Genomic DNA, 13543 nt, shown 5'->3' on the forward strand with positions numbered 1-13543 from the left:
CCCAGCTAATTTTTGTATTTTTAGTAGAGACGGGGTTTCACCTTGTTGGCCAGGATGGAATCCATCTCCCGACCTCGTGATCCGCCCACTTCGGACTCCCAAAGTGCTGGGATTACATGTGTGAGCCACTGCGCCCAGCCTGTAGTAAGTTTTGAAGTTACATAATGTCTGTCTCTGACTTTGTTCTTCTCCAATGTTGTGATTATTGTGGGTCTTTTGCCTTCCCATATAAATTTTAAAATCAGTTTGTAAAAATCTACAAAATAACTTGCTGAGATTTTGATTGGGATGCACTGACTTGTTAGAATGTGTAAAAATTTTTCTGTATTCCTCTGTGTACCTGCCAGTTTTTCATAGTATATAGATCTAAAATGTAAGACTTTATTATATGAAATTTATTATTCATAATAGATCTAAGCCCAGGAGGTCAAGGCTGAAGTGAGTGCTACTATATTCCAGCCTGGGTGAAAGAGAGAGACTCTGCCAAAAAATAAAAAATAAAAAATAAAAAATAAAAAAAAATATATATATGTACTATGTACATATCCTGAGGATTTGAACAAATTCAGAAAACACTGAAACAGTATTACATGAGCTGGAATTTATTTAAGAGTAGTAATCAACTTGATTTTTTTCTATTAATTTTAGCTAAGCAAAAGTTCCATCATTATTCATGACTGATGATTTCTTTCCTTATATTTATTGTGATGACTTTTTAATCATACATTTAAACTAATACACATTCCTAGAGGTGGTACTCTAAGCTGAATATTTTCTAACAAAGTCTATCTATTATTATGTCTAATACCACATTTATCACTGTATTTTAGAAATGTTTAATATTAAGATTAGTCCCCCTCATTCTTTTCCCCTGACCCCCAAATTGTTCTTATTCTTCTTGACTATTTATCTCCCAAATGAAATTACTTGTGGTATTTAATTTAACTTAGTAATTCTGATAAGTAGCCTCCATGGAAGAGACTTACTGTATTATTTACTTAGCACCCATCCATCCACTTGAATTTGTTAACATTAAGGTTTATGCAACAGCCACTTTAACGTATTCTGTACTTAGAGAAAGGAGATATTGATAATTTTGAGTTAGTGCATATCCAGGCTGGGTGCGGTGGCTCATACCTATAATCCCAGTACTTTGGGAGGCTGAGGTGGGCAGATCACTTGAGCCCAGGAGTTCGAGACCAGCCTGGGCAACATGGCGAGACTCTGTCTCTACAAAAAAATAAAATAATTAGCCAGGTGTGGTGCAACGTGCCTGTAGTCCCAGCTACCTGGAAGGCTGAGAGGTGGGAAGATTGCTTGAGCCCGGGAGGTCAAAGCTAAAGTGAGTGCTACTACTGCCACTATACTCCGGCCTGGGCAAAGTGAGAGGGTCTACCTCAAAAAAAAAAAAAAAAAGTGCATATCCTGAGGATTTGAACAAATTCAGAAAACATTGAAATAGTATTACATGAACTGTTCCTATTCTAAAGTAAGATTAATTTAGGAAGTAGTAGCTCTTAGTTCTTTATTACCTAGTTTAAATTTTAAAAGAAAGCATTTATACTTAAGAATAAAATTTCTAAACCCTTTCCTTGTATTGAGTTGTATGTGTGTTAGTGTATGAGATTGCTGAGTTTATTGTACTGAGTCGGCTTCATTGTATGACAGATCTAAAAAAACTGGGAGAGTTCTGCCTAATACTGCAAAACCAGAGTAAAGTTAGGAAATTGGGCTAATGTTTAATTAAGTCAATCACTGGCCTTACTTTTGTGCTTCATTTGCTCAATTACACTTATGGTAAATTTCTTTCTCGAACTGATGGAGAAAAGACTTTGTGATCTCATGCCGTTAAAGTACATAATCCCATATGATATTACAGTATGGAGAGATGCTTTTCTTTTTATTTATAATTCTCCCACATTAATGTCATGTCTGTCTGTTCTAATTTAGTGCTTTGTATTTTTCATTTTAAAAGTACCTGGTCTGCTCCTGTGAACATTTAGGTAGATACCTCAGTTTGAGGTCCTGTGAGTCTGTGATTCTATTATTTGTAAACATGTATGAAAATGGAAAAGAGGTTGGGCATGGTGGCTCACACCTATAATCCTAGCACTTTGGGAGGCAGGAGGATTGCTTGAAGCTGAGAGTTTGAGAGCAGCCTGGGCAACAAAGAGAGACCCCTGTCTCTACAAAAAATTTAAAAAACTAGCTGGACGTGGTGGTGCGCACCTGTAGTCCCAGCTACTCAGGAGGCTGAGGTGGGAGGATCACTAGAACCTGGGAGTTCCAGGCTGCACTGAGCTATGATTGTACCACCCTGGGCACCAAAGTGAGACCCCGTCTCAAAAACAAACAAACAGAAAAAACAGAGAGGGAAAAATAAAGAAAAATACATATGTATAATAATAGGTTCTCAATATATATTAGTTTCTTTCCCTTTCTACTTTCGGGATGAATTCACTGCTTGTTGAAATGTAATTGACTGATCTAAATGCTGATGTTTTAATGAAAAGTATATAATGTGGATTTCATTTAATTCTGTCCTAAATGACAGTTTGACGACATACTTAACAAATCCCTAGGCACCAAGGATTTGGGGTTTTGTTGGGAAGAAAACATCTAGGCCAGAAACGATGTACTTTTACCTTGTTTTGAATCTTTTATTGTTTGGATCAGACCTCGTTTAAAAATGTAGAGGAAAAATTTAATAGTTCCATTTCTACCTGGAAATACTACCTAGAAATAGTATTAGTCTATTAGTAGACTAATACTCCAGCTGTGGGAAAAACAAAAAACAAGCAAAACACCCAAACCTCCCCCAAACCAGAAGTTTTAAAAGGATTAAATTTAAAGGATTTAATCAGAATATATTAAATTTAAAAGGAAATATGATTGAGGCATTAGAAACTTCTGAGGTAGCGAGGACTTGAAGAGACCTAAATCCCAGCAGTAAGAGAAGTGCACTGAGGTAGGTCTAACATTTTTTATACCACTTTTCCCTTTGGGGCATTTGCTGAGTATTCATTTGGGCAGAGATTAAGGCAGAGGAGCCTGCAAAGTTTATGTAATCTCTGGCCTGACAACGTAGGCAGAATTTGAGGATACAAGATCTTGAAGGAAAAAGAGAAATAAGGCTTACACTCTGAAGAGGCTTTCCCCTTGAGGTATTTCTCTGTTGGTGGTGACGTTTTTATTATTATTATTACGAGACAGGGTCTCATTGTCCAGGCTGGATTCGAACTCCTGGGCTCAAGCAATCCTCTCTCAAGTAGCTTGGATAACTGGCATGCACCACTATTCCAGATCATTTTTCTGTTATTAGCCTTTGGGAAACAAGCTCAGAAGCTTAGCAGAAAGCAGATCAAAAGCTCAGCAGTATAGTAAGATGTGACTATCGATTCTATGAAACAATACTAATAATGTCTCATGAGGCCTAATCTTGTGCTGGGGGGCCAAAAATTGTATTTCAGTGGTTGCTAAGGAGGAGGGGTTTTGATAATCATTCCAGGCTCTCAGTTGGAATCCTTGGAAGTTATGATTACTAGGAGAGAGGGTGAACTAAAGTCTTGCTAAGTCTGAAAACCTGCCTTCAATCTACTCAGCTCACATTGAATTGGTGTTATCTGCCCATCATCTAGCTGCCAGCCGTAGGTACATCTTTTCTGGAGGAAGAAACAGAATTAGCTTGTATACAAATTTTAACACAGTATCTGATGTGCAGTCAAACGTGTTATTAGGCATGTAAGGAGTCAGGATCAAGAGAAAAAAGATCTGACAGTAGAAATAGACCCATAAGTGATCCAGATATTGGAATTATCAGTCACAGACCTTAAAACAATTGGGGAATCTACAATGAAAAAAATCAAATGGAAATTCGAACACTGAAAACCACAGTAAGTAAAGTAAGAACTCAGAAGATTAGTTTAACAGCAGCTGGGACATAGTTGAAGAAAGGATTCATGAACTGAAAAATAGATTAGTTGAAAATATCCAGACTGGCCTATGTGGAGAAAAGAACATTAAGAATAAAGGGAAAAAATCATAAAAGATGCATTAACTGTAGTAATAAAATCTAACATGCGAGTAACTGGATTCCCAAACTGTGATGGATTTGGAGCTACAATAGTGAGATTCAAGATTACTGTCAATCCTAAGGAATATTAATACTTATAAAACCACACTGGGTTACCATAGTAAAAATGCTGAAAACTAGAAAAATAAAAAATCTTAAAAGTAACTGGAGGAGGGAACAAAATTTAAAAGCTGTAATAAGACTGATACCTGATGACACATTAGAAAAAGTTGAATCAGAAGACAAAGGCATGATATCTTTAATGTTGTGAGGAAAAATAATCACTAACTCTGTATTATAGCCAGATAAAAGTATACTTCAAAAGTGAGAGTGAAGTAAAGACATTTCCAGACGCATACAAATTGAGATAATTTAGATACAGGAGATGGGGTTCTTCAGGCAGAAAGGAAATGATACCAGACTGAAAAGAGTAAATGCAGGAGGGAAAGAAGACTAAGTAAATATATGGCCAAATGTAAATTAATGCTAACTATACAAAATAATCGTATTAATGCCTTGTGGGGTTTAAAATATATGTGCAATTAAAATGCATAACGATAATAACTCAAAAGGTGGAAGAGTATAAAATTGTCAACCATGTTCAAAGATCCTTTTTCTGGAACAAGGTGAAGTTACTAATTTATACTTATAATGAAAGAGTTAATCACAATGGAAGATTATTAAATGTCATGGATGCCCATGCAACCTCTAGGGTACTAACCAAAAGAATAAGAAAGAATAACCAACAACTTTCCAGAGGGAAAAATGCAATATCAAGATATTTGATTAATGTAAAGGAAGGAAGAAAGGAGGGAAAAGAAGTAACATATGGGCTGAATCTGTTCTTAAATTAGATTATGGTGATGGTTCATAGCTGTGTAACTATACCAAAAAGCATTGAAATTGTGTACCTTAAATAAATGAACTTTATGATATGTAAATTATATTTCCATAAAGCTATATAAAGAGAACATGAGACCAATATAATACAAATAATATGAAAATATGATAAATATAACTAATAAATATAAACTCATATTTTAAGAATAAAACTAAATGTTAATTGACTAAATACTTCAATCAAAATTCATGGATTGTCAGATTTTATTAACTGCAATTGTATGCTGCTCACCAGAGATATACTTTAAGACTGTCTTACAGAAAGAGTAAAAGCTATAGGATGGTAAAGTTGTATGTGTGGTAAAGTTGAATCTAAAGAAAGCTGGTATAACTATGTTAATATCTGAGAAAAGGGCTGGGCGCTGTGGCTCATGCCTGTAATCCCAGTACTTTGGGAGGTGAGTGGATCCCTTGAGGTCAGGAGTTCAAGACTAGCCTGACCAACGTGGGGAAACTCTGTCTCTGCTAAAAATACAAAAAATTAGCCAAGCATGGTGGTGTGTGCCTGCAATCCCAGCTACTCGGGAGGCTGAGGCAGGAGAATAGCTTCAATCCAGGAGGCAGAGGTTGCAGTGAGCTGAGATCGCACCACTGTACTCCAGCCTGGGTGACAAAAGTAAGACTCTGTCTCAAAAAAAAAAAAAAAAAAAAAAAAAAAAAAAATATATATATATATATATATATATATATATATCTCTGACCTCTGAGAAAGAATTTAGGGCAGAAAGTATTGCGAGAAATCAAGATGGACATTTCCCTATGTTAAAAAAAGTCAGTTTATAAGAAAAATAAAATAATTCTGAATTTACATGAATCTAATGATATAGCTTTCAAGCTTATAAAAACAAAAATTGACAAAATTATCAGGAGATCTCAATCAACAATCAATGTATAAGACCATCCTTCTCACAGTATTACAATAATCAGGCAAATAAATGAATGAGGATATAGAAATCTGAACAGTATGATTAATTAACATATGTATTGACATTTATAGAACACAGCACCATATGCTGAGAAAGTACACATTTGTTTCAAGTGCAGATGGAGCATTTACCAAAATTGATTATGGAGGAAGTATAAGCAAATTTCAAAGGTTTGAAATAAGAGTGTATTCCTTTCTCATCACATAATTCAGTAAGAAATAAGTAACAAAAGGAATTGCAAATCCATAAGCCTATGAATCAACGAGTTAATCAAAATGGCAAATTATAAGATATTTTAAATTGGATAATAGTGGAAAACATGGATACAGTTAAAACTGTGGATACAGTTAAAACTGATTAGAGGAAGTTATTCGGCCCTAAATACATAAGAAGAACTGAATAATCAGTTATCTAAATATCTCAAGAAGACAAAAAGAAAATATTAAACCTGGAAAATGTAGAAAGAAGAAATTATGAAGTAGAATTTATGTAGAAAGCAGAATTTATGAAGTAGAAAGAAATATAAATCATTCAAGCCAATAGCTGGATTTTTGAAATGACTAATTGATGAGCCCTTGGAAAGACTGAATACGAAAAAGAGAGAATATAAAATTAACAATATTAGAAATGAAAATAGGAAATCACTGCAGAACCTCCAAACAATGAAAAGATAATAAGAGAATACTGTGACTAGCTTTGTTCCAAAGAAATTAAAACATTCTAGAAACAATATAGTGTTAGCGAAATACAGTTTACCAACCCTAACACTAGAAGTGGGAAATATCAACTGTCTTATATTTATTAAATGAAATGAATTTATAATTAAAGCCTTCTCACAAAGAAGTCCAGGCCCAGATGGCCTCACTGGTTAATTCCACCAAACATATAAGGAAACAATAATACCAATCTTAAACTCTTTCATAATACTTCCCAACTGATTTTATGAGGCCAACATAACCCTGATCCTAAACTATGACAAAGACCATGCAAAAAAAAAAAAAAAAAAAAAAAAGGTATAGACTAATATTTATCAGGGACTGTAGGTGTAGAAATCCTCCACAAAATATTAAAATATTGGGAAATCCATCCCATTGACATATCAACTCAATAGCCTATTACAACCAAGTTGGGATTCAAAACCAATTATTGTCACTTACCTTATTAAGATAAAAAAATATTTATTTTAACAGATACTATAAAACATTTTTAAATATTAAACACCTATTCATTGTAATATTAGTAAGTCGGCATGTAAGAAAAGTTACTTAAACTGATAGAAATTATCTATCAAATGCAAAACTGGTGAAATATTGAATTCTTTCAAGGCAGTGTTGAATAAAGTTGGGGAAAGTGGATACTTTTGGAATTAAAAATGAGCTTGGCAAAGTCACAGCTCACTATAAAAATTCAGTTATATCAGTTATATTTTTATATTCTAGTAAAAAGCAATTACAAAATAAAAATAAGTGATTTCACTTATATTAGTATAATGAAACAACACATACCTAGGAATAACTCTAATACAAGATGTGTAAACCTTTACACAGAAAATTGAGAAACATTTTGAGAAAAATAAAGATGACCTTAAAAAAAGGATAAATATACCATGTTCATATATTGGGAGGCTCAATATTACAAAGATGACAGTTCTCTTCCAATTGATCAGGTAGATCAATGCAATCTCAATCAAAATCCCAGCAGGTTTTCTTTTAGTGTGCATGAAAGTTGGAAAAGCCAGTTCTAAATGAAGAAGAGCAAGATTATCAAATACAACTTTGAAGAAAAGAACAAGGTTAGAGTCTTTGACTCCTGGATATCAAGACTTATTTTAATGTTACAATAAGACCGTTGGGTATTAGGACAAAGACAGAAAAATAGAGCAGGATAGAGTTCATAAGTAGATCTGTACATTTGTGTCTTGATGCATTAGTAAGTGACAATGCAGTGCTAATGGGGAAAAGATTTATTTTTTAATAAATGGTCATTTGGATAGGTATACAAGGGTGGGTGAGGAGACAACTCTTAACTCCCTCCCTACCATCTTACATAAAAAATCAATACCAGGTATGTCGCAACTTTCATGGGAAAGGCAAAATAATGAACTTTCTAGAAAATTTAGTAGCTTTAGTAGCTTCGTGTCATTTTATTTTGTTGTTGAAGATTTGCGTGTGATACATTTATATGTCATTTGTTTTCTAGTATGTAAAATGCAGATAATAAGATTACATGTAAAATGTATGGCTCAAAGCCTGCCACATGGTAACTGCTTTAACTTAACAGAATTATCCATCTTAAACAGTAAAATAAAGTTAATCAATTTGAAAGAAGCAAGCAAACTTTTTTTAAAAAAGTTTATGGAATAGTTCATGTTTATGTGCCCTAAATTTGTAATTAAAATATGAATGCACGAGATGGGTGGATCACTTGAGGTCAGGAGTTCGAGATCAGCCTGGCCAACATGGTGAAACACCATCTCTACTAAAAATACAAAAATTAGCCGGGTGTGGTGGCGGGCACCTGTAATCCCAGCTATCCAGGAAACTGAGACAGGAGAATCGCTTGAACCCAGGAGGCGGAGGTTACAGTGAGCCGAGATTTCACCACTGCATTCCAGCCTGGGTGACAGAGTGAGACTCCGTCTCAAGAAAAAAAAAAAAAAAAAAAAGAATGCAAAAATAGAGATGTCATTTGAATTATCTGACTTTCATATAGTGATATAATTTAAAAATAATTACTTTTATATTAGATTCTTATGTCCTCTCTGCTAAATCAAGTTGGTGTTTAAATAACTGTTGTTTCTTTTAAGGGAAATTTTGTTTTTATTTTGAAATTTTGAAATGAAATTGCTCTTTTTATTAGTGTTAATATGATAGATATTTAATGTAATTTCCTGCAGATATTAAAATAGTCATTTTCTTTAATAAAATCCACATATATTTTTAAAATTCCACATACTTGATTCAAGTTTTTGGAAAAAATGTTCCTTTGTCTTATATGTTTTATGGGTTTGTAATTGCGTAAATTCTAAAATTGGTTAAGTTTACTGTGAATTTTATATTTCCTTGTCTTGATTAGCTCCATTTGAATCATTCTCCTTTTCACCGTTTGCAGGAATTTAAATGATTCTTGTCAACAAGAACAAGAGACGTGTCATGAAATCGTTCTGCATTGCTTATGCATAATTACAACTTTATTGTATGTTAGTCAGTCTTTTAACCCTGTGGACCATTTGTCTTGTCTTGTGTGTCTAGCTGATAATTCACTCCCAGCAATGCTGTTGCTAAGCTTTTCTTTGGGTATTTGGATATTCTGTTTGTTACATTATTGCTCCTAATTCTTGCGCCTTGAAGAACTGTGTCTTTTGTAATATAGAACATTAAAGAGCTCCTGTTACTATCATTAGTAACTATGACTCTTGATTATAAATTCTTTCTTCTGAAAAAATCCCATAACTTTATCTTTGCACTGATGGGAGTGTGTGTGTGTGTGTGTGTATGCATGTGTGAATGTCTGACATGCAGAAGTGAACCTGATAATGGCAAAATACAATGTCTTTGATAATCGTTGATAGCACTAAAAATATGCACTAAATATGCACTAAAATAGCACCAAAAATATGGCATATTCTATTTTCCTGATAAATATTAAAAGGAAGTCATTTAATTTTTTTAGATTTTTTTGGGGAAGAGAATAAATATAAAAATTCGCCCTTTTAGAGGTAGAAAAGTGCACAATTGCACTGTGCTGGACATGCCTTTTTTGCTTCTGTTTGCCCCAGGATCTAAAGGAATGGATTCATCACTCCGATAAGTTAATGTTTAAAAGGAGATCTTCAGCTTTATCTAACAAGAAAATATCTTGAAAAATGTATAGTGAAAATCAGGCCTTTCTGTTCAGTCAAGTGTTTTTCTTAAATAACAACAGTGTGTTTGTAAAATGCAAAGGAGGAAGTAAGTTTAGAACAGATTTTTCTGAAAACTAAGTAAATTACAAAAGAAGGCAAAATGCTCTGTTACAAGTAACCTATTGGATTTCATTAGGGCTTCATAAAATTCTGCCTGTTTATTTAGGCTCATATTTTAAATATCACTTTATAACATTTTTGAAATAATCACTCTGTATGTTGCTTTTTATGCATATTGCTTCCCAAAAGCTTGCTTGCCAGAGCATTGGAGATTCCTAGCTAATAGCCCAAGATTTCTGCCTAAGTAGCATTAGCTTCTTACCTAATTAATGAGTTTTCTAAGGAAAAAAAATTACAAATAAACTTTCATACATGAAGGGTGTGAAGCAAGCCACAATTCCCACAGGACACCAATTATACATTCTATAGATGGGAGGTGAGTTAAGGAAACTTACCTTTGAGATTGAGTATGTCTCTCAATGTTGAAATTTTTTATTCTGATTTATTTGCAAGGAATCCTAGGGCGTTGTAGAGACAGTCTTTGTTGACATATGGCTTTTTTGTTTGTTCTGTTTACAGTGTGGGTATGATTATAGTCACTTAAGTTTTAAAGAGCCACATAATGATTAAGAGACTAACATTCACTTATAAATACAACTTTAAAAAATAATTTGATTCCCACATAACTTCAGAACTATTTGTTAAGGCATGCCTTTATATTGTGAAATTGTATGAAATGCTAGAAAGATTAGAGTAAGAGAAATTTTACTTTAAGTGTCATGAGAGAAACTGTAGTTAGACACTATGTCTCTAAATTGATCTTTTTAATTAAATCAGTTTTTATAATTAGAGGAGAGTAGTAGTTCTTAAATCAGAAGGCCTATTACGTTTGAGAATTAGAGAAATGTTCATGTTTGCTTTTAAATAAATTGGATTATCATTATTTTATGTACCTGGTGCATTTCCAGCCTAATGTCTTTTTGAGTTCTGATTGCTAAATTAACTGAATTCTTTTTGTTTGGTGAGATTAAATGTTGTTAATGAAAAACTTGAATACAATTTTTTATGCTTTAGAATTGGAAGTAGATTGTGGTGCAAGGACCAAATTGATATCAATTCATTTAAATGACAGTAATTGAAACATTGCTAGGTATTTGTTTGTTTGTTATTTATTTTGGCTTTTTCTTTCCACAGCAAGTTGATGTGGAAAAATGGGTATGTGTTTCCATGTATTTGCAAAGAAATTGTGATCTAAAAGTGCATGCTTGCTCTCGCCTCTAATCTTTCATTTTGCTTCCTAGTGTGGCTTGTACTATTAGTGTTCAAACTAACTGCTTCGTTGTAATGAACACATGTTTTACAGGTCTCTAATGAGAACCTTATGTTTCTGGTTTTGCTTCATCTGAAATGGGGCATATTAAAGTACTTTCCATCCCTAGAACCACATAGTTTTTATATAATTTATTTTGTAATTATTATGTGCTTCTGGCCAACAGAAAGGTGTTTATTATTCATACTGTCTGTATATCTTCTGCAAAAAAAAACAAAAAACAAAAACCTTGACTGTTTAATCTCAAAATTCCACTGCTTAGTCCTTATATTTCTGCATGTACTGTAGAAGAAGACAATTATATATATAGTCATAGAAAGTCATAGAACCTTTTTTTTTTTTTGGTATAGATGGAGTCTCACTATGTTGCCCAGGCTGGTCTTGAACTCCTGGACTCAAGTGATCCTTCTGCCTCAGCCTCCCAAAGTGCTGGGATTACACACAGGAGCCACTATGCCCAGCCTTATATAATCTGAAGCAGTGAAGGTGAATGACCATGTAGAAAAACGCAGTTACAGGATTCTGGAGGCTAATTCTTAGAGCCCACATTGTCACAAGTTGTGCAAAAAGTTACATTGCTTCTTTTGGTCTCGGTTTCCTTATCTGTTAGGAAAAAATAAAGGAGAGAGGAAATACACCAAGGTACCTTCCAATACTTAACACACCAGGATTCTGAATGGAAATTAAAGTCTCCTCAAGACTGATATTCCTACTCCACTTTCTCCCAAGAGTGCAAAACAGTGAGGCTTTTCATTATTGAAATGTTTTTGTATTTGCTCTGTGACTTATATGAAGAATCCTTTAAGATTGACTTAACTGATGGCTTTATTTTATCTTCATTATTTTTCTGGTTTTAGGATCCAACTTTCTTGATGCAATATTTTGAGAATTTTGCCATCTTTTCAGTGCCCTTTCAGTAGTGTTTTCCAACAATTTCATGTTCTCTTGTCTTTTTTTTTAAATTTTTTTTAGCCCTTTAAAGACAAGGAAACTTGTTTTTTAATTTACCATTTCTGATGACCTTTGAAAACTATGACTTGTATGTTATATTGCTGAGAATAATTTGAAGTCTTCATTTCTCTTTATAACCGAACTACTACTACTTTTGACCAACTATTTGTTTTTGAAATTTCCTACCTTCCTCTTTGGCTATAGTTAAAATGCTGATCCAAGATTCACATTTTTCTTGTCTTGGTAAGGGAAGCCTGCTTCCTTCTCAGAACACGTATGACACCTCTTTGTCCTGCACTTCCCTAATATCAGCATCCTACAACATAGCCCTCTGTCTTTTCCCATCCTTGCATCCCTTCACTTCCATTACACTATTTCTGTGCCATATCTGGATTGGTATTGACCAACCACTCAAGCTGCTTTTACTTACTTTGTAAATAGCACTTGCCAGTAAATAAAATCACCTTTTCACCATTGTCTAAAAGTCTTCCCTTCAGTTCCTCTGTGGATTTGGTTACTTTTGATCTGCCTGTGTAATTTTTTTCTTTCTTATTCCTATAATAATTTATTTTTATTTGTATTAAGTTTATTTGTAAATCATTGCAGTAGAGATTGCCTTCTAGTTCTAAGGAAATATCTCTGATATTTTCTGAGCTAAAAACCTTGAGGCTTAGTTTGCCAAGTGACTGGCTTTATAATCTTATGTAGCCTCTTTATTGGCCGTAATCTCTTTGTCTGTAGGACTAGAATCTGCTTTACTCCTTTTTTCTTAAGTATTACTATCATGTCAGTGCTAAAACATATTGATGCCAAAATACATGTTCATTTGGAAGTCATATAATAAAAAGATTCTGCTGGGTTTTAGAACACGGATGATCACTATGTGTAAATGTTGCAGCAAATTTTAGATTGGAGCTCTTTTTTTCTTTGAAGACCTATCCAGTTCATGTCTTATGCTTTGGCCATTAGAAGTTTGAAATTCTACTGTTACAGGTAGACTTTGAAGGCCAACAGAAAGTAATTTAACCCTCTACCCACCTAACCCAGGACTATTGAGACTCCTCTGTGGGGCTGGTACTTCTCTGCCCCTTGAGTTAAATTAGAACCGGTCCCTTGACCTTTCTCGTATTCCAAGAGTGAAATACCCCACAGACATTTCAAGTCATACAGATCTCATTTCAGTAATTAAAATGCCCAAATCTGTATAATAGGTGAACTTGAAGCTAATTCAAGTTAACTTGTCAGGAATCGAGCTGGAGGGACGGATATCTGGGAAGCTGTTTCTTGCTTGCCCCGCCGGGTTCCTCACGCCCTACTTGGTACCTGGAGAGTCTGCCACTCTCAGGTGCTGTGGGAAGGAGACAGAAGAGAAAGCTTGGCAGGAAAGGTCTGCTTTGATCATAGTGTCATGCACTGGGCTTGCCAGGTTTCTAATGCTGACTTTCTCTGTGGGCGCTTGG

The 13543-nt window shown here is 34.2% G+C and overlaps 1 protein-coding gene across 18 annotated transcripts in view; it reads left to right on the forward strand.

Annotated features, from left to right (window-relative positions):
• RYR2 (ryanodine receptor 2) overlaps positions 1-13543 on the forward strand; it is a 791805-nt gene that overhangs the window by 302785 nt on the left and 475477 nt on the right. For 17 of the 18 annotated variants that reach the window (XR_007062490.1, XR_002957299.2, XM_006711802.4 and 14 more), the window contains exon 4: positions 10997-11017. The exons of the other annotated variant lie outside the window; for it this stretch is intronic. Coding sequence is in view for 15 of the 17 variants with exons in the window: in XM_006711802.4 (XP_006711865.1) it covers positions 10997-11017 (21 nt within the window). In the remaining 2 variants the exon portion in view is untranslated. The remainder of the gene's footprint in view (positions 1-10996; positions 11018-13543) is intronic. 18 annotated transcript variants of the gene reach the window in all.

Source organism: Homo sapiens, chromosome 1 (genome assembly GCF_000001405.40).
Source record: "Homo sapiens chromosome 1, GRCh38.p14 Primary Assembly".
NCBI classification, from domain to species: Eukaryota; Metazoa; Chordata; class Mammalia; order Primates; family Hominidae; genus Homo; species Homo sapiens.